General features: G+C 36.5%; 1 pseudogene across 9 annotated transcripts, besides 1 other annotated feature; it reads left to right on the top strand.

The window, feature by feature from the left end:
* Positions 2,697 to 17,871, top strand: CASP12 (caspase 12 (gene/pseudogene); annotated as a pseudogene). 9 transcript variants are annotated; one of them, NR_034070.4, is made up of 9 exons: positions 2,697 to 2,749; positions 3,689 to 3,940; positions 8,166 to 8,260; positions 8,654 to 8,826; positions 9,753 to 9,987; positions 10,634 to 10,783; positions 13,852 to 13,961; positions 14,345 to 14,464; positions 15,055 to 17,871. The product of NR_034070.4 is annotated as a caspase 12 (gene/pseudogene), transcript variant 9 (transcript). The 9 variants fall into 9 exon arrangements; NR_034061.4 differs by lacking the exon at positions 8,166 to 8,260; NR_034071.4 differs by lacking the exon at positions 9,753 to 9,987.
* Positions 5,937 to 6,465: an enhancer, noted in NCBI's record as "NANOG hESC enhancer chr11:104765419-104765947 (GRCh37/hg19 assembly coordinates)". NCBI's record gives its function as "activates a minimal SCP1, AML or CMV promoter by ChIP-STARR-seq in naive H9 embryonic stem cells {active_cell/tissue: H9 hESC(naive)}" and the evidence as "EXISTENCE:reporter gene assay evidence [ECO:0000049][PMID:30033119]".

Below are 18,536 nucleotides of genomic sequence, written 5' to 3'. Positions count from 1 at the left end.
CATCTATGGGTACGTACCTAAAATAATTGAATGCAGGGTCTCAAAGATTTATTTATACACCCACATTCATAGAAGCATTGTTCACAATATCTAAAATGTGGAAGCCACACAACTAACCAATAAATGATAAATGGATAAACAAAATGTGGTATACACTCATAATGGAATTTTAGCCTTAAAAACAAAGTTCTGACATTTGTTACAATATGAATGAACCTTCAGAACATTAGGCTATGTGAAATAAGGCAGCAACAGAAAAACCAACACTGTATGATTTCACTTACATATGAGGTACCTAGGGTCTCAAATTCATAAAGACAGAAAGTAGAATGGTGATGGTCAGGGACAGTGGGTAGGAGGAAATGGGGAGTTACTATTTAATGATCTAGAATCTCAGTTTTACAAGATAAAGAAGAATTCTGGAGGTAGATTGGGGTGACTGTTATGACATTATGAATGTATTTATTATCACCAAACACCACATGTAAAAATGTTAAGATGGTCAATTTGGGGGTATGTTTTTGTTTTGGGTTTTTTTTTTTTTTTTGGAGACAGAGTCTCCCTCTGTCACCCAGGCTGGAGTACAGTGGCCCAATCTCACTGCAAGCTCTGCCTCCCAGGTTCAAGCCATTCTCCTGCCTCAGCCTCCCGATAAGCTGGGACTACAGGCACCTGCCACTACACCCAGCTAATCTTTTTGTATTTTTAGTAGAGACGGGTTTTCACCGTGTTAGCCAGGATGGTCTCCATCTCCTGACCTCGTGATCTGCCCACCTTGGTCTCCCAAAGTGCTGGGATTACAGGCGTGAGCCACTGTGCCTGGCCGGGGGTATGTATTTTTACCACAATAGGAAATTGGGAAAAAATGGTATTAATTGGAGGTGAGAAGAGATGGAGTAAATTGCACCCAGGAAACTCTGATCAACTTACACAGAGGAGAATTAAGCTACTATGCAAAATTGATGAAAGAAGAAGTGAGAGTTAGGTATATTATTATTTCAAAATGAATCAAGGAAATAATTGGAAATCACACTATTATCAAATATAAGATAGAATAGGAGAGAGAATTCGCAGTGTGAATGAGCTACATCTCATTTTTCATATGAGACAGTTAATAGCATTGTTTGTAATTTTTGTATCATGAAATAGATAAAACAGGCATCACTGGGTGTTCCAAAGATTGTTAGCAAAAAATAAAGCAAATAACAGAGAAATTACACCTAGTTTGTGGGACCAAAGATGAAAAGCATAAAAATCTGATTTTTATTGTAGTGTTTTCTGTACTACTGACAAAACTTTTAAAAATTGTAATCTATCCACATTTTAAATAGTATACAGCCATCAAAAATCAGATAGTGTTTCATGTGTTGATTTTTTAAAATGTTTGTCACACATTGTGAAGTTAAATAAAGCAAATTATCAATAATATAATTTTAAGATACTGCCACTATAGAAAAAACAAAAAACAATCTGTAGGTAATTATGTGTCTGTTAGTTATCTATTGTTGAGTATCAAAACACCCCAAAATACAGTGGCTTCACACAAGAAGCATTTATTATTATTACAAGGTGGCCAGTCAGCTGAATGTTTCTTTTTGTCACTGCTAGGATTGTGTCTGAGATCATCTGTGTGTAGGGTAGGCATCTCTGCTGACAAGGCTGGGATACCCCATAGGTTGGGAAAACACTTGGCTGGAGGCTGGCCTAGGTTGGCCTTGGCTGGGATGACTGGGCTCTTCTCCACATGAGGTCTCTATTCAGCTAGCAATCTAGCCCAGGCTTATCCTCATTTAGCTTCAGGTGTTCAAGAGGAAGAAGGGCACAAGGATTTGTAAAACTCAGACTGGAAACTCCTTCAGATCCCTCTGCTCCATCATGCTGGCCAAAACCAACCTATAAGGCCAGTTCAGAATAAAGTAAAGGCCAAAAAATGCTAGGAGGCCATTGATTAGAGCCATGGATAAGATCAGTATTGCATTAAGTGTTTTGTAAAATTATTTAAAATATTACACACAGATACAAGCTAAACGTATCGTTGTGATTACCTTGCCATGTGAAATTAAATAATCTACATTTTTCCATTTTATAAACTTTTCTGTTGTTTGATTTTAATGGCACACATATATCTGTTTCAAAAATAAGTGAAAGAGCCTCTTGTTCATTTAATGAACAAAAATACATTGATCTTGTGGAAAAACAACATCCCAATTTAAAAATGAGTGGATCAGGAAAGAGAAGAAAAGAGATCACTTATGTGAGTTTCTCAAATAGTGAAGGGAGTATCACCATTTGGCAGTCTTCAGTTAGCCTCTTTCCCTTAACTTCCAAAATCACACTTCCGGGGTTGAGTAAGTATCAGTGAAGTAAAGACTCCTGACCATTTAGAGGCTGATGGCATCAGACAGACAAACAGAGATTTAACTTAATTTATTAACAGTGTTAAAAATAGACAGGAAAACAGAACACAGAGACGGGTTCTCATGCAAGTGTACATGATTTCATTCTGTTCACTTTGTTATGTCAAAAAGAAGAAAACACCTTCTGCTTCCTATTTTCCAAAGGAAAGCAGTTATACACGAGATCAGAGTCTAATTTTATCTTGGCAAAGAAAAAGAGAATTTGAGGACTGGGAATTTTCCATTCAGGGTAATATCAACAAGCTGGTCCACTGAGAGGAGAGCAAGCCTGTTGAAATTGTTTTTGCTTTCACAGCTTTTTCCTGTCCGGGGAGCAGGAGAAGCCATGGCTGGTGAGTGGCTTCAGTTTTTCTGTTGTTTATGGCTGTCCTTTGAGAACGTTATATTCAAGGGAAAGAAGAAGGCAGAGTGGAGGGGGTCTCCCAAAAGCTAACTATTTTACTCTGGGTATGGAGGGAGATATGTCAGCTTCCGGCACAGCACTAAAAATGCAAACCAAGTGTCTTCATTAATATGTTACAACTTCTCAAATGAAAGAGAAATGTAGAAACACCTGGATTTCTGTTCTTAAACTTTTCCTTTGATTTTAGACTCTTCTTTTAACTCATACTGACCCGAAATTCTCACCCATTTTATAAGTGTTCTGTTACGGTGAGGGTGAGAAGCCAGGCGGTTGAACAGGTAACTTGCATTTCCTCCACATTTCTGCTCTCTGTGTGAACTTTCAATTACAGCAGCAAATGGGTCAGCTACAACATGTGTGCTCAATCTGCGCATACCGAGCTTCCCTGCCAGCCTTGATAAGGGAAACAAAAAAGGTGTTATTTTACAGATGAATGCATTTATGCTACACATATTGAATGTAATGTCTTTTCAAACTAGTTATTGATAAAAGTGAAAGAAAATGAAGAGATCGTAGGAGATGTAAAGACTAAACTGAGTCAGCTGTCACTAAGTTCCTTAGTGAATTCACTTTGCTTCCCTGAATCTATTTCACCATCTATGAAAATGGAGAGAATTGAACAAGACAGGAGCTTCTCCACGTGTGGTCCTTGCACCAGAGGCTTTGGCATCACCTGAGAAATTGTTATAAATGAAAATTCATGGGCCCATTCTCACCTATCAAATAAAAATTATTTGGACTAGGATGCAGGAAGCTCTGCTTACTAAGCTTTCTAGGTGATTCTTATGCACGTTAAAATTTGGGAACCACTACCCTAGAATGGGGATCTAAAGTTCTGTCCATATCTAAGATTCTATCATTTTCACAGATGAGAAACCATCCAACGGTGTTCTGGTCCACATGGTGAAGTTGCTGATCAAGACCTTTCTAGATGGCATTTTTGATGATTTGATGGAAAATAATGTGTTAAATACAGATGAGATACACCTTATAGGAAAATGTCTAAAGTTTGTGGTGAGCAATGCTGAAAACCTGGTTGATGATATCACTGAGACAGCTCAAATTGCAGGCAAAATATTTAGGGAACACCTGTGGAATTCCAAAAAACAGCTGAGTTCAGGTGAGTATTGTGGGGCTAACAGCTAGTAATTCATTCTTATTCTTTCTCTACTCTTCTTATTCAGTTTTTGTCTTCTTTATTTTTCCTTTCTCCAAGTGGAGAATAAACTATGCCCATCTTAGGACCTTCTTCACCAATCTTTTTTTTTTTTTCTTTTTTTTTTAAGACAGAGTATTTTGCTTGCTGTTGTCATCCAGGCTGGATGGAGTGCAATGGTGCAATCTTAACTCATTGCAATCTCCACCTCCCCAGTTCAAGCAATTCTTCTGTCTCATCCTCCTAAGTAGCTGATTTTATGGGCATCCTCCACCATGCCTGGCTAATTTTATTTATTTATTTATTTATTTATTTATTTATTTATTTATTTATTTATTTATTTTTTAGTAGACACAGGGTTTCACCATGTTGCCCAGACTGGTCTCAAACTGCTGATCTCAGGTGATCCTCCTGTCTCAGCCTCCCAAAGTGCTGGGATTACAGGCATGAGTCACTGGGCCTGACCTCCTGTCTATCTTATTTAATGTCACAAAATACCTTGATCATCCCCAATTACTTTTACACTGCTGTATACTTTTTTCTTTAACAATACTCACCATATCACTCCATACAATTTACTTATTCATTATATTATTATGTCTCCCTCTGCTGAAATGTAGACTCCACCATGTGGGGGGTCTTTGTCTGCTTTGTTCATGAATATATCCCAAACACATGGAAATGATACCTGAAACATAATAGGTGCTCAGTAAATATCTGTTAAATAAAGGAATGGTGTTGGATACATTAAATTCAGTGATAGCCTTTAGCTATTCTGGGCTACTCTGGTTGCACAAAGTGGACGTTAGAGTCATTCCCAGATACAGAATGTACAATAGGGGATATCTATTATCTTTTGCTTAGCTGTGGCTTTGCCCCAGAAAGAAATGTCTGGAAATCTAGATTTCTATTTAAGGAAGGAATAGGGAATTCATGGGTCAGTGGGGTATAGATGTTTCCTTCTCTCTGGAACATGGGTTGCTACACTTTTTCTTTGAAAGATAATTAATATTTTAATCTTTCTGGACCATGTGGCCCCTGTCATGACTCAAATCATCTATTGTAGCTCACAAACAGCAATAGACCATAAGTGCATGATGGGTGTGTTGATGTGTATCCCAGTATAACATTATTTATAAAACTGGGTGTTGGGCTGAATCTGACCCATAGGCCATGGTTTGCTGATTCCTACTCCAGACTGTAATACATAAATAAGTATATTCCCAATTCTTGGATATGCATCAAGAAAAGGCCAGTGAGCCAGGATGTTTAGCCATAACTTCTCCCCAGAGGTGGCATTTCAGTACATACTTGAACTGTGGGGAAGGAGTTGTGCCAAACTCTGAAACAAAAGTGTTCTCTAGAAAGGGGAAACAAGAGCAAGGACCCTGAGACAGTAATGCTCTTGCTGTGTAAGAGGGTCACAGCCAATCTGACTGGAGAGTAGGAAATTAGAGGGAGTATAAATGGAGCTATTAAAGAGACAGGCCGGGATTTTATTTGCAATATAAAACGTTGCAGGGTTTTGTTTTTGCTTTTTTTTTTCTTTTTTTGGAATCTTTTTTAGACAACTGTTTATTAGCAGTCGAGGATCCTTACAAATTCCAGGAGTGTTGCATAGCCTCTGTTCTTCCTGGCCATCTATTACAGTTAACATCTATTTCTAAAACAAGTGCTTAAACTTGTGTGAGTATTAAAGAATGTTTTTATGGAAGCTAAGTTTTATCTTAGTTTACATAAAATAAGTTGACATTAAAAAGCAGAAGTAATATGACATATGATAAATTGCCCTGAGTAAGAACTTGGTACTCCCTTTTACCAAAATGTAAATAAGGTGTTTCCAACTGAGAGTTTTTTAAAAAATAAAGGAGCTTTTAATCTCCCACTTTTCTTTCTCCATCTCTTTCATTTTTCCTTTCTTATCATCTGTTTTATTTTCTTTCCCATTGACATTCTTTTTCTTGTTTCTGTTTTTTCCTTCTCTCTTTTTTTCCTCTGTTCTTTTTCTCCTTCTTTCCTTTTACTTTCTTCCCTCCGTACTCTCAATTCTCCCTTTAATTTCACTGCCAATTTTGAAATCATTACATGCTAATTGAGCCAAGTAGGTTGTAACTGCAAGGGCATGTCCTAATGTCTACAGCAGAAAAATGATAAATGATGCATCCTGCCTTCATTTACACTACCTTAGAAGCTGTTAAACGAGGAGTGATAGGATAAGCGTCGCATCACAAAGGCCAGTTGAAAGCGGTTTAAATATTTCAGTTAGAAAAACAATAGCTTTTAGACTGGGTTTATGGCAATAGAGCTGATGAAAAGTTGTTAAATTTGAGACCTAGTTTTGGCAGCAGAATCAATGCAAATTGACTAATGGATTGGATATGGGATGTGAAAGAAAGGAAAGAATTAATAATGACTAGGTTTTTGGCTTGGCAACTGGGGTGTATGGTGCCATTTACTGAGTCAGAGAAAACAGGTGTGCAGGGGACACAGATTTGAAGGAATGCACAATATCAGGGTCCTGTTTTGTATGCTTACTTTGGAACATGTGGTACCTCCAGTGGTGGATGTTGAATAGGCAAATGGATGGGCTCACAGAGAAATCTGGACTGGGAAAAATCTGGAGATTCGTCAGTATGTAGATAGTTTTTAAGATATTGAGACTGGAAGATGCCACATGGGAAAGAGCATTGATAGAGAATAACAGAGTGTCTGGCATAGAAAAGCACAACTTTTGGAGGCATTGTGGAAGAGGAAGAACCAACAACTAAGACAGACAGAGTTAGGAAGAATGGCTGGAAAATGCAGCATTACAGAAGCCTAGAGAATGCCATGTGAATGCTAAGAAATCAACATATAATCAGTGGTAGTTTGATAACTATATTTTATTTAAGGATTGAGGATAACAGCTGGATTGGATTGCATACAAAAATCATAAGACAGAAAAATTGGAAATAGCAAAAAACAAAATGATTTTCAGGCATTGTGTAGAGAAGTAAAGTAGTGATATGGGCCAATAATTGGCAAGGAAACAGGAAGGTTTTTTTTAAAAAAATGATATATATTAAGTCATGCTGCTGTCAATAGGAATAAGTCTGTGGGAAAAGAGGAAGAGAATGAATGATGTCATAGAACCTGAAGCTGAATAAATACCTGAGAAAAACCCTTGTTGGTGGGAGGGGATGGATTTGAGAGCTCAGGTAGAGGCGGTGATCTTAGATAGGAGGAAGGACACATGTTTTATGTAGCCAAAGAGAAAGTAGAGGAGGTGAGCAGAGATGTAGGCAAATTAATGGATTTGGTGGTTAAAAGATGAAATATTTCTTACCCAAAACTATGAAAAGAAATAGAAGGTTTGTTGCCCTAAGGGAACAAAGAACCAGGGGATACCTTGTAGCTATTTTCAAGTATTTGAGGATAACTATTCACTAACAGAATTTATAAACTAGCAATCTTGGTAGATACTATTCTAATATACTGGAAATACAAAGATAGAAGACCACCTTTTCTATCCTAATTAAGGTTATAGTACAGTAAACACAATTAAAGTACAATGCAATAGTTGTTTATGTTGAAGGTATTTTCATGTAAGAATGAAAAAATAGGGAAAGACATGTTGGTCATGGAAGAATTCATGGGCTTTTACAGGGAAATGAATTAAATGTTTTCTGTATGATTCTGAGGTGGGAAATACCTATCAATACCTAGAAGGTACACAGATTGTAATACACATAACTGTTCAAGAATGCCTTGGAATGTTTTGAGTTCCATGAAAGGGGAGATGTCTCAGAGAATGGTAATAATAAAGAAGGGATATTTCAAGTGACATGAAATAGCTGAGTACTGATTCCACTAGGCTAGATAAACATTACACTTCCTTCTGAATCTTAGTTTCTGTGTTTATACGATGCTAATGTGTTGGGTCTGAAAGATAAGTTCATGCTGTGAGCACTAACAAAAACACACAAATTGATAACCAGGTCAGTAAGAAGCAGAAGGAAAATAGGGATGTACTCAATATTTTTGCTTTAGGCATTTTAAATATGAAGCAATTTTCTCATTTTATGAAACTTTTTCATGGACTGGCAGTAAGCAGTTTTGAGGAATGAGAGCCTAGCAAAAGGATCTGCAGTGTTGCAAGGCAGCAGACATTACTGCTTACTATGCCACAGAATTTTTTTCTCTCTTTCAGCTTTTCTGGAAATCCAGGGTGCCCAACCCAGTGGCAAGTTAAAGCTTTGTCCTCATGCTCACTTCCATGAACTAAAGACAAAAAGGGCAGATGAGGTGATATGCTTTGAAATACGGAGACACAAGATTACTCATTCAGACAAGACACTGGGGACTTACTGGAATGGTTTAGCTCTCGTCACAAAGGCCTTAAGATCAGGAAATTATCTAACCAATTGGTCTTCACATTACATTTTCTGTTTCTTCCATCTTATTTTGGGACACAGTCTAAACTCTCCACCACCTAACTTAAGCCAACTTCATACAGTGAACACTTACACCACATACATGCTTTCAGTCTGGTTTTCTGCCTCTTTCCTCACGAGGGTGTATTTTCATGCAGAAACTTTGTGTCACTTACTCTATATTTATATTGGCCTGTTGTGTATGAACTTTGCAGGCAAAAGAGAAAAGTCCTGGGGAAAGTCATTCTGTGTGTATTAATTGCAGATATATCCAGTGATGGAGAAAGAGAGGCGAACATGCCTGGCCTCAACATCCGCAACAAAGAATTCAACTATCTTCATAATCGAAATGGTTCTGAACTTGACCTTTTGGGGATGTGAGATCTACTTGAAAACCTTGGATACTCAGTGGTTATAAAAGAGAATCTCACAGCTCAGGTAATGGCTCCAGAGAGAAGAACAAGCTGCTTCCCCTCCACCTCCACCTTTAGACACTTTTCAACCTCTTACCTCTTAATTGGCAGCTGAAAGAGCAAGATGTATGATATTATAGGAATTATATTTTCTCCAGAATAGGATCCCCTGGATTTTAGCCTTCTCTAATGCACAGTCTTATAGCATATGAGTATGCGTATGTGTGTGTGTGTGTGTGTGTGTATTTACAGAAATTCTACGTAGCAGAGTTTTAGTAAAAATATTGGGTCTTTCGATGTTCACAATCTGGGAGACAGCTACTACTTGATGGTCTGCATAAGACAAAAGCTCTGCACCCTGAAATGTCTGATACCTACAGAATTATCTTGTGAGATTTTTACAATGGCATGAGCAAGTGTCTTAATGTAAAGGCAGGTATAGGGGGAACAAATCACACACACACAAATATGTAATGAAACAGTTGTGTTTCTAGCTCTATTTTGCAAAACTTTAGAGAGACCATTTTAAACTAACTTTCTGCTGCTCCATAGTGAATGAATTTCATATTTTTAATATTTGTCAGTTTTATCTTTTAAATAAAAACTTACAAGAGTTCCATCATTAAACATATTATAGCAAAATGGTCCTATTGGTGTATTGTCATCTCACTTGGCCTTCATTTTATTCCATCTCCCAGCATCTTCAGAAACCTAAGGTTTTACTAAAAACCACTGGGCAAGATACTACATAAAAACCCTACTAACTTTAATATTCTATACAGCTAAATTTTCTAGTTTTATGTCAGAACACTGTTTATCTTATAATCCTATTCAGTCTAAACCATCTGATTCCTCAGTGCTGGCTCCTTTTTGTGAACCCTACCCATTATTTGATTACAAACTACATACACATGGAGACTTCCTCGATAGTGACTCAAGGGTCTCTTTCAGGAAATGGAAACAGCACTAAGGCAGTTTGCTGCTCACCCAGAGCACCAGTCCTCAGACAGCACATTCCTGGTGTTTATGTCACATAGCATCCTGAATGGAATCTGTGGGACCAAGCACTGGGATCAAGAGCCAGATGTTCTTCACGATGACACCATCTTTGAAATTTTCAACAACCGTAACTGCCAGAGTCTGAAAGACAAACCCAAGGTCATCATCATGCAAGCCTGCCGAGGCAGTGAGTCCCCAATTAGAAAGCTGTAAATCTTGATTTTGAGACCCCAGGGAGTGGCTGTGCACTTTTAAAAATTAGCCTGGTGTTCATTTTCTTAGGGATGGGCAAGAGAAACAACATTTCAGTACTACTAGGTCCAGTGCACTTCGAAATTGTATTAAGTCCCTACCATTTTTTAAAGAAACTATAAGTACAATGATTGGAAACATCCCAATCATCTGGGACTATGTTGTCAACATGGTTGTTCTAAACTCAAGTGGGGTCTGTTTTGTTCCCAGTAAGTGAGGCGGTATTTCTAGTAGTAAGGTACTTGCATTTTTAAGTAATGCCATGATAAAATATACTTAAGTAAAGATATCAGTGTAAAAGAGAGAGTCTGTGTGTATGCATATGTATATGCGTATGTGTGTATGTGTGTATGCATATGTGTGTATGTGTGTGCATATGTATGTGTATGTGTGTAAATATGTGTGTGCATTTGTGTGTATGTCTATGCATATGTGTATGTGCGTGTGTATGTGTATGTGTGTGCATATGTGGATGTTTGTGCATATGAGTATGTGTGTGCATATGTGTATGTGTGTGTGTATGTGTATGTGTGTGTATTTATAAATATCTCTTCTTTAATTAGACATAATGTCTCTCCCAGATGGTGCTGGGATTGTTTGGTTCACCACTGACAGTGGAAAAGCCAGTGCAGATACTCATGGTCGGCTCTTGCAAGGTAACATCTGTAATGATGCTGTTACAAAGGCTCATGTGGAAAAGGACTTCATTGCTTTCAAATCTTCCACACCACGTAAGTGATTTCAGAGAGAATAATTTCTAAATTTCTTAGTAGGTTTCTAGATAGTAGGCTTGGCTATGATCATATCTTATCACCGAAAAGAGCATTTCTTCTCTAATTACCAGGATATTTTAGGTGGAGAAAAGATTTAAAATGCTGAGACTTTCATAATTAGAAAGCTATAAATCTTGATTTGGGAAGAAACGTTCAAAGTTAACAGGACTTTGGAAGGACTTTGGTGAGCATCAAGACTTGGAATAATCTAACTACAAAAAGTGAGGCATTATTTGATTTTGTTTTTAGAATGTAGCAATGGCACAGAAAGGTATCATTTTCTCACAGTGTAGCTCCACAGCCACTTCCCAGCAATTAAAGAAGCCAACCACTAAAACCATTATACTTGCTCCACACATCCCAGTAACTCTTGACCTATTATTATTAATCTAGTTTCAGGAAACTAGTTAACATTTAAATGCCTAAATGTTAACTAATTTAGGATAGTGAAGTCACTGAATAAAAAATCAGTCCTTTGGCAGGAAAGTCATAATACAATGGAAAAATAGAGAATATTCTTGACCGCTCATGGTCAGAATTGCAGGAAATCTCTTTAACGATCATCCACAATATTATTCTATCAATGATTTGGAGAACAGGAGCAATTTTTAAATACCTCCTTTGCACAGTTCACAGTTCTAAATGCTCAATTTAGGGATTTCAAATTTTAATCAACATAGAAATCACTTGATTTCTTATTCAGTAGTTTGCTTATTCAGTAGATTTCTTATTCAGTAGGTCTGGGGTGGGGCCTGACTTTCTGCCTTTCTTAAAAGCTTTGTTGTGATTAGGGCTGTTGTTTGTGGCTGCATGTGAGCACTGAGGGACTAGAGGACACTCTGAGTCCAGCCTGGGGAATAAATAACTAGAGTAGCTTCCCTTCTATTCATGTAATGTATTCGAGTTTTAATAAGTTTTATTTGAATAATAAGTTCTACACTTACAGCTGTTGAAGGAAGTTAAAGAGGTATATAAGGCCTGGTACAAATTTTGAAAGTATACTTAATTTAGTTTGGGAAATACAATATAATATGCAAAATTGTTTCTTTCTCCTTCCTTTCTTCCTTCCTTCCTTCCTTTCTTCCTCCCTCCCTCCCTCTCTCGATCCCTCCCTCCCTCCCTCTCTCTCTCTCTTTCTTTCTTTCTTTTCTTTCTCTTTCCCTCTTTCTTTCTCTCTCTCTCTCTCTCTTTCTCTCTTTTCCTTCCTCCCTTCCTTACTCCCTTCCTTCCTTCTTTCCTTCTTTCTTTTACATGTAATTGTGTGCTAGGCCTGGGCTTGGTGCAGGACATAGGATGCACAATTAAAGCAGGTATGGTTACTGAACTTCATGGAGTTTGCAGTCAGAAAGGCAGGCACTAACTGTGGGAAAAACACAGTTACAATATAAGAAGAATAAATAATAATTGTCAACTCTGGTAAAAGCCTTAAAAAATATGTGTTCACATTTGAGAAATGAAGGAGTTAACAAATGAAGGGTAAGAGCAGAACTTTTTAGTCAGGAAAGGCAGTGCATATGGAGAACTTACAGACAAAAAAGGAGCTTAGGAGAGGAGGCTGAGTGGCTGGAACACAGCATCAGGAGAGATGCTAGTGGAGAGGCTGGAGAGTGAGGCAGGCACTGAAACACCTGAGGCCTTACATGGTCCTTCATACTAATAGTAACAGGAAATTCTAGTAGGCTGTAAGCAATTAAATGATAAGATTTTTGTTTTTGAAGACCATTCTGGAGGTTCAGTGTGGAATAAATTATAGTACAGCAAGAGTCGATACATGAGGACAGGTTAAATGCTAGCACAATATTGCAAGCCATAGATGATACTGATAGTCTTGGGATGTAATAAGTTGTATCTAAGAAACAATTAGTATACAAAAATAATATGACTAACCACCCAGTGGTTTGGTGAATATATGTCAGGTGAACAAGAAGGTGTGATAGAAGTGACTCCAGCATGCAAGTAAATGGTGGGGCATCAATTAAAACGTGAGTTTTGCAGTAAGTTTTGAAGTGCTTTGGCATATTTTAAGATGAAATGAAGAGTAGAGAGTGGCACAGTTGTATATTTCAGAGGAGAGATTTGCATTCAGGATAAAATTTTGAGAGATGCTGCCCTAAGGATAATATTTAATATCTTAAAAATGGATGAAATCATCTAAGAATTGAGAATCGCATGAGAAGAGGCCTTGAAATGGAGGTTAAAATTACCCTAGAGTTCAATATTAGAGAAATAGGAACCAGCAAATTTGACTCACAAAGTAGAATCAGAGAATAAGAAAGTACACAAGGAGTATGCGTTGTCAGACTTTAATGTGAATGAAAGATCAGGTGAAGGTGAGGCTTGATGAATGACTATTCGATTTAGTAACTTGGAGGTAATGGTTACCTTGGGGAAAGCCATTTGGCAAAGCTGATGTTAGGTATAGGAAGGAGAAGCCTGATAGGAGTGAGCAGGATAAGGGAAATGGAATGGTGAATATAGACCGAATTGGAATTTTGACTTTAAAAAGTAAGAAGAAATCAGCAGCTGGCGGCAAATAAAGTAGTAGTTAGAGAAGTATTGCCTTTTTTTCTAAATTATAGGAGCAACTTGGTCATCTTGAAATGGTAAACAGAAGCAGTCCTTGAAAATATTTTTATACAACATAACAAAAAGTGCAAAAAAAATATAGTATGAAACAACTCAGGATGACATTCCCAGAATCAAGGAATGTCAAGGCTGTATTATTTTTCTGTTATGTAGTTAGTGCTGAAAGGACTTACACTCTTTTCCACTACTTGCAAACCCAGAGGATATCACTTCGGTCTAGCCTACTAGAAAATCAAGGTGATTTATGAGTGAGGAAGGTCCATGATGGCTTTTTCTGGGCCTGGTATGGAAGTTGGAGGTCCATCTTTATTTAGCATTGGTTTCCCTCTCTTCTCCAAAGAAACAAAATCAGATTTTTTTTCCCAAAGTTATGTCTCCAGGAGTCTTCCACATGTATAAAAGATCACATCCTCCAATATTTTGATGCCTTTTATTTGCAGATAATGTTTCTTGGAGACATGAAACAAATGGCTCTGTCTTCATTTCCCAAATTATCTACTACTTCAGAGAGTATTCTTGGAGTCATCATCTAGAGGAAATTTTTCAAAAGGTAGGGTCTTCTTTTATTTTCAATGTTATGCCCCAGAAAACTTTGGAGAACCATTTGTGAATTTTTATAAGAAATCCCAAAGCTCTAATTCATCTTGACAATCCTTCCTGTACTCCAAGTTTATTCAAAGATGGGGTCTTCCAAAATGCTACATAGAACCATTGTGGGTTTTCCCAATAACCTGACTCTGATAGCTTTGTTCACCCAGGGAATTCTTTTTAGAGTAACAATTCATTTGTGAATGTGCTATACCTAAGGAAAAGCTAAAAATATCTTCTGTTTACATTACTTAGCTACAACCTTAATACACACCATGACTTTTCTCACTCCTGAGTCAGGTTTTCCTTTTAGAACATCTCTAAAGGCTTTCTTTACCATTTTAGGTTCAACATTCATTTGAGACCCCAAATATACTGACCCAGCTGCCCACCATTGAAAGACTATCCATGACACGATATTTCTATCTCTTTCCTGGGAATTAAAACTCATAAGAAGCAACTCAGGTAAATATATTCTAGAAGTGGATTTGGGTGCTCCCTGCTTAGTCTATTCAGAAAGTCTGGATAGAATGGAGAATAATGATGGCATGTCAGCTGCCCACTAGTTATAGAGGCTCGTGTTATTTGCCTTTTCTTAGTGACCCCCAGCGAAACCCTGGTTTTATATGACATCAGTCATAGTACAATGGTTGTATAACTAATGGTAGCCCAATAGTGGTCAGCTAGAAAATCCTTTATGTCTAATTTCCCTCAAGGAACTACTCAGAGAATGGGGAATATTGGATTCTGATGTATGCAGAAAGTAAAGTCATTGGAAATGTGATGTATAGCCAATGTTTGTCTCTCTTCACCCAAAAGTCAGTTTTTGTGAGTCATGTTCTCCTCTCTTTGTGATGAGGCTTTCCTGTACCATATGTCCCACTAGCTGCTAAATCTATGCTGAGGCAATGAGACCCTAGTACAGGTCTTCCCATTTGGGGATGACAGATCCGTAGCCCTTTTGTAAAAGTATTTCTCACAGTAGACATTAGTTATATTTACATCTTACCGATAATAGCCAGATTACTCATGTTCTTTTCTTCTACTTTCTCTAGGAAAATGAAGGCATTATGGTGTCTATGAATCTGCTATTAGAAAAGGTCAATTTTTGATTAAGAATATTTTTATACCAAACTGCTCAGCTGTCCACCTTTTCAAATACCAGGCTAAAATCAATCTCATATTTTTGCTAAATTAATGCTTAATAAATTTTTATTATAAAATTGTGCTTGTTTTCTAATTTTGTCATAAATTAAGTCATGCTTATAGGAGAAAAAATTAAGTATTAAAAATCATAAAAAATGAAGAAATAATCATCATCAACCTTTTTAAAACTATTCATAAAAACTCAAGTTTTTTATATAGCTTATTTATTTTGTATATCCAATTTTGTGTGCTTTTATTATATTGTTATAACATTACTACTAGTAATAAAACTATCCTAAATATAACTTTTAAGTTTATAATATTCGTCAGGTATATATAGGGCATACTATTTAACTTTCACCTGACTTTTAGATGTTGATTTCAATATTCATTTATTTTATTTTACTTTTTTTTTATTTCAATAAGTTTTGGGGAACAGATTGTGTTTGGTTACATGAATAAGTTCTTTTGTGGTGATTTATGGTGCACCCATCACCCGAGCAGTGTACACTGTATCTAATGTGTAGTCTTTTATCCCTCAACCCACTCCCACCCTTTCCCCTAAGTCCCCAGAGACAATTGTGTCATTCTTACGGTTTTGTGTCCCCACAGCTTAGCTCCACCTGCTGCTCTGTCTGTCCAGGTGCGAGCTGCAAGTTAGGCCTGATTCTTATCTGTTATTTTCTCTGAAGTCTCCTATTTATTTTCTTTCTTTCTTTCTTTCTTTCTTTCTTTCTTTCTTTCTTTCTTTCTTTCTTTCTTTCTCTTTCTTTTTCTTTCTTTCTTTCTCTCTTTCTTTCTTTCTTTCTTTTCTTTCTTTCTTCTTTCTTTTCTTTTTTTCTCTCTCTTTCTTTTTCTTTTTTTAAAATTTATTTTAAGTTCTGGGATACATGTGCTGAATGTGCAGGTTTGTTACATAGGTATGCATGTGCCATGGTGGTTTGCTGCACCCATCGACCCATCATCTAGGTTTTAAGCCCCGTGTGCATTAGGTATTTGTCCTAATGCCCTCCCCCAACTTAGCCCCCACCCCTGGACAGGCCCTGGTATGTGATGTTCCTCTCCCTGTGTCTATATGTTCTCATTGTTCAACTCCCCCTTATGAATGAGAATATATGGTGTTTGGTTTTCTGTTCCTGTGTTAGTTTGCTGAGGATGATGATTTCCAGCTTCATCCATGTCCCTGCAAAGGACATGAACTCATTCTTTTTATGACTACATAGTATTCCATGGTGTATATGTGCCACATTTTCTTCCAGTCTATCATTGATGGGCACTTAGGTTGATATGATTATGAATATGTTTAACTTTTACTTTTGTCTAGAAAGAGGTTTATATTCTTAGAATGTATTACTAAAAAGTAGAATTACTGGATCCATACACTTAAACTGTTTGATAAATTATTGCCAAAATTTTTTGCCAAATTATATGCATAGAAGAAATTCAAGATAATGACTGGTAGGTAGAGGAATTTTTTTTTAAAAAAATCATTACTGATATAATAGGTAAAAATAGTCAGTTTCATTGACATGTCTTTTGTTATCGACATTATTTGACATTCTAACCACTTTATTTGCTGTGTTTTAGTGAACTGTTAATTTATTTTTTAAATTTTATTTCAAATTTTATATGTGTTTTCCTTATCAATTTGTATAAATCCTTTATATATGACAGTGTATTAGCTCATATAACATTAGGTCATATAATATTTTTAGTTAGTTCTTTGATATTATATTTTCTGTATGATATGTGATGTGGAATACTCACATTTTCAGTAATAGAATCCATTTATATTTTCTTCTGTGTTTGTTTTTATATTTTCAAGCTTAAATATTGTATCACTACCTATAATTTCTTACAATTATATTAAAGATATATTTAAATATCTTATTCTCCTTTAAATTTTATGAATTCATTCTCTAAACAATATGATTTTGCAGTGAAATGTGACATGGGGATATTATTGATTTTTTCCAATGAATTACCAGTTGTCAATGATACACCACTTGAATCATATATATATAATCATATATATATATATATACACCAATTGTAACATTGTCTTTAATATTAATTTATAATGTGTTATGGAATGGGTGTCTTGGACGATATTTAAGAAAAATACTGGACATTGGTATCTACTTTAGAGAAACTTTTACTACGAGGGATTAAAACTCACTCAAACTAGCTTAAAGAAAAAGTTTCGACATAAGCATACAACAGGTAATCTCATATTCCTCCATTATAAAAAGCAAACCACAATTAGGTCTCTGGAGATATGGTCTAGAACATTGAAAATCAGGTAATCATTCTCTTTGATTAGCATCTTCATTGTGTAATGACTCCTTCTGAATCATAAATTTTCAGATTACTAATTATGGTACTTTTAATAAATTAGCTTATCTGACACCAGTTTCCAGGTATGAAGTGGGCGTGCTAGTATCTGACTCATATTGAGCAGGTATAATATTATGTGCATGTAGCACCTCCCTGTTGCACTGCCTGCCACACAGTGGGCAATTGTTTATGGTAGAGATAATTAGTGTTACATTCACCGATTCATCTTTCAGGACTTATGCTGTATTACATTGCTAATTACTGTTTGATCATCCTCTTTAGCCCTTTCTTGTTCTTACTGTCCTTAGTCACATACTGTGTGTGTTTCCAGGTAAATTTTATAATGACTGTATAAGTTTTCTGATAATTAAAATAGGGTTCTAATGGAATTTAAATGTGTACATTTGTTTATCTAGAGCTATGGTTTTCAAATTTATTGTCATGCATTTTTTAATTTTTGAGCAAATGTTTATATTTTTCTTTGTATAACTTCCTCAAATTTCTGAATCAGGATATACCTAGACATTTTGTATTTTGTTACTATTTTGAATAAGAATGTTTTCCTCCAACATTTCTAACTGATCAATGCTGTGGATGTAAAGGAAAAAAAAATGACAGATTCCCTAGATTCTTAAATATATATGTCCGTTTTCACGCTGCTGATAAAGACATACCCAAGACTGGGGAATTAACCACAGAAAGAGGTTTAATGGACTTACAGTTCTAGTTCTACATGGCTGGGGAGGCTGCGGAGGAACAATCATGGCAGAAGGCAAGGAGGAGCAAGTCATTTCTTACCTGGATGTGGGCAGGCAAAGAGAGAGAGCTTGTGCAGGGAACTCCTCTTTAAAAAACCATCAGATTTCATGAGACTCATTAACTATCATGAAAACAGCACAGGAAAGACCCACCTCCATGATTTGACCACTTCCCACCAGGTTCCTCCCACGACACGTGGGAATTGTGGGAGTTACAATTCAAGATAAGATTTAGGTGGGGACACAGGAAAACCATATCAATATGTAAATTATATATATATACATATATGCAGTTT

This window comes from Homo sapiens, chromosome 11, assembly GCF_000001405.40.
Source record: "Homo sapiens chromosome 11, GRCh38.p14 Primary Assembly".
Lineage (NCBI taxonomy): Eukaryota > Metazoa > Chordata > Mammalia > Primates > Hominidae > Homo > Homo sapiens.
Note: the sequence above shows the minus strand (reverse complement) of the source record. Positions and strands in the feature narration are given on the sequence as shown.